A 3,456-nucleotide genomic window follows, 5' to 3' on the forward strand; every position below is an offset into this window, starting at 1 on the left:
AACACAGTGAAACCCTGTCTCTACTAAAAATACAAAAAATTAGCCGGGCATGGTGGCAGGCACCTGTAGTCCCAGCTACTCAGGAGGCTGAGGCAGGAGTATGGCGTGAACTCCAGAGGCGGAGGTTGCAGTGATCCGAGATTGCGCTGCTGCACTCCAGCCTGGGCGATAGAGTGAGACTCTGTCTCAAAATAAATAAATAAATAAATAAAAAATAAGACCTCATTCAGTCCATATTAACTTAGAATTGGTATAGATGGCACCTTCCTGATTCTGTAAGTACTTTAAGGTTTGACTGAGTGAAAACAGCTTGCACGTTTGAGCAGACCTCACTGGACAGCCTCACTGGACCTTTTCCAGCTCCTGCAGTAGCTCATTCACTATCCTGCTTCAGAGACTTCGTCTTACCATTTTCTTTCCCTGAGACATTTCTCTCTCTACTGTACCTTTTTGCTTTACTCAGGTATTCAAAGGATTGGATGAGGCCCACCACAATAGGGAGTGCAATTTCCTTTACTCAATCTACTGATTCAAATGTTCATTTCATCTAAATACTCTCCCACAGGCACACATCACATAAACATATGTGATATGCATGTATATATACATATATATACACATACATATATGCATAAAAAAGAGATTTATTATACAGAATTTGCTTACATAATTAAGGAGGCTGAAAAATCTGTAGCAGGCAAGCTAGTAATCCAGAGATTTGATGGCACAGTTTCAGTCTGATCCCAAAGGCCTGAAGCAAGACAGCTGACGGTGTAAGTTAGGCAATTTTTCGAACTGCTTCTACAACAGTTCCCTTATCACTTACTGAATACCCATTGTGTCTTTTTCCGTTACTCGCCTGGGAGGAACCATCTATCCTCCTGTCCTAAAGGGAGTTCCTCCTAGGTTTGGTTGGACCTTAAGATTTAGATCCCCTGTTAGGAAACCTGCTGGGTTAAGGATTTTTGATAGGCAGGCTATGGGTTGTCAGTGGCCTCAGTGCTTTTGGGCTATGCCCTTGTTTACACTGACAACAAGGTGGTATTGGAGTGTTATAGGGTCACAGAGAAGACCTCCAATGATCAATTATAGGTTTTAAATTTACTCTGGCTTTTGAATGATAGGGTACACTTTTTTTTCTTTACTACTTCTATCGCTTTCTCTCTCTGTGACTCCTTCTTTGTCTGTCTCTTCCTCTCTTTCCTTCTCTCTCTTTGTCTCTTCCTGTCTCTCTTTGACTTTCTGTCTCTCTCTTTCTCTCTCTCTCTCTGACTCCCTCTTTGTCTCTGTCACTTCCTCTTTCTCTCTCTCTCACTTTCTGTCTCTTTCTCTCTTTTCTTTCTGCTGGTCTTTCCTTGCCTCTGCCAGCCACTTATGCTGCAGTTCTCCCCTCTCCAAAGGATTGGATAAGGCCCACCACAATGGGGAGGCCAGTCTACTTTACTCAGTCTACTGACTCAGATGTTCATCTCATCCAAATACACTCCCACAGCCACATCCAGAATAATGTTTAACCAAATATCTGGGCACACCATGGTTCAGTCAAGTTAACACAAAATCTAACTGTCATATCCTTCTAGTCTCAGTGCAGACATTCATTTTTCCAGGAAAATTTCCATGATCCCCAAGTCTGGGTGAGACTGCACTCTTCTGATCTCGTCTTTTCCAACAATATGTTGTTACCCCAGCATAGCACCTACCGCACTATCTTGTCATTGCCTGCTTACCTTTCACACAGGACTTTATACCCTAGTCCTGCATTTGTCTTGCTTATTCTTACCTCTGTACTTCCTAACTTAGAAATTACTCTTTGACACTCAGGAGGTGTTCAATAAATGTTTGTTGAATGCATGAGATATTCTATTAACCTTTATCTTGAATCCTCACTAACATTAAAATAATATAATTATTTTAGCTTAATTGCTTATATAAAATCAGCATTTACTCCTGGCCAATTATGGTTGAATATATATGTAACAATATTCAACATTCTGGTTTCATTAACTTTCCTCTGGGATTTGTACACTAAAGTTGCTCAATCTGTGGTTTAGATATTTTATGCTGATTAAAGCTGCAGCTACCTTGTTAGAATTCTCTTTGTTGCTCACCACCAGGGAAAAGGGCATTCAATTTAGCTGTTTCAAATTAGAAAGTAGCATACGAAAGGAAAAGAAGCTTTGGAATAAAAAGTTTCCTAGGCTAGAAGACTAGTGCTGTTTGCCTTCATTTTGTCTTAATTATTGACTTCTGCATATTGAGCATTTAGAAAACTACCTGGCACAAAAGAGATTCTTAAAATTGGTAGGTAAGTGAGCTTACTTTTGATAAGTTACAAAAGTTATTTTAGTCACAGTGTTCTCATTTAGTAAGTGATGATAATTATCTATTTTACAAAGATTTCTGAGAATTACATCTAAGTTAAACATGCTCAAATTGAGTACAGTAGGTGAAAAATGGAAGTCTCATATTTCTTATTTTCATAGCATCAGAAGACCTGTGAATATGTTTATAAGCATAAAGTATTTGTTTCATCCTGCTGTCCCCAATCTTGCACTTTCCCTCCTTTATTTTTAAATAGTTTTTATGGGCCAGGCATCGTGCTAAGTGTCTTAAGTACATAATATTATTTTATTTTAATAAGGTATTGTTATCTTCGGTTGATAAATAAAATATTGCCTCATAAAGATTTAATAACTTGCTCAAGCTCACACAGCTATGGAATTGCACACTCTAAACTGGCATCTGGGTTTATCTCACACAAAAATTTGATCAGCATTCTATTGTTCTATGACCTTTGGATGTGCACAAGCACAGAGTGTATGATGATTAGGGGAGCATGGCAAGGACAACTTTAGAGCATTTCCACAAGAGTATGAGAAGGTGCTTGCTCCAACTGCTCTTGGATCTTTCTCAGCTATATTGACTGCCTCTCCCACCCACAGTTGGTCCTTCATGACCAGAGCTGAGCTAGAACAGTGTGGCTGCCATAGAGGAAGTCTTCTCTGGACAGACTTCGAGTTTCCCTGGGCTTCACTGAGAACTGGCAGTGGGAAGATTATTTGTCTTTCCTTCCACTTTGAAAAGAAGATAAGCAAAGACACAGCTGGCTACATCCAGTTAAAGGGAAAAATGCAAAGCTGAAACTTACTTTATACAGTATGTCTACACCCATCCAGGGCCCATGTTCATCTCAATATATAAATTGAGTCTCTATATTAACTTTCACTCCTTTCCATGTTTCCTCTTCTCATATTTATTTCCACAGTCGCCATTCTTCCATTATATCAAAAGTACCTTTTTTTTGTTATTATTGATCTTTTCTACTTCTCTACCTTCAAGAATCTTTTTTTCTTCCTTTAATAAAAATGACATGAAATATTTTGATTATAATTTTCTTTCAGTTATCACCCTTTTTTTCTATTTGCTGCAAAACTCTTAGAACATATAGCTATCTTA

This window comes from Homo sapiens, chromosome 8, assembly GCF_000001405.40.
Source record: "Homo sapiens chromosome 8, GRCh38.p14 Primary Assembly".
NCBI classification, from domain to species: Eukaryota; Metazoa; Chordata; class Mammalia; order Primates; family Hominidae; genus Homo; species Homo sapiens.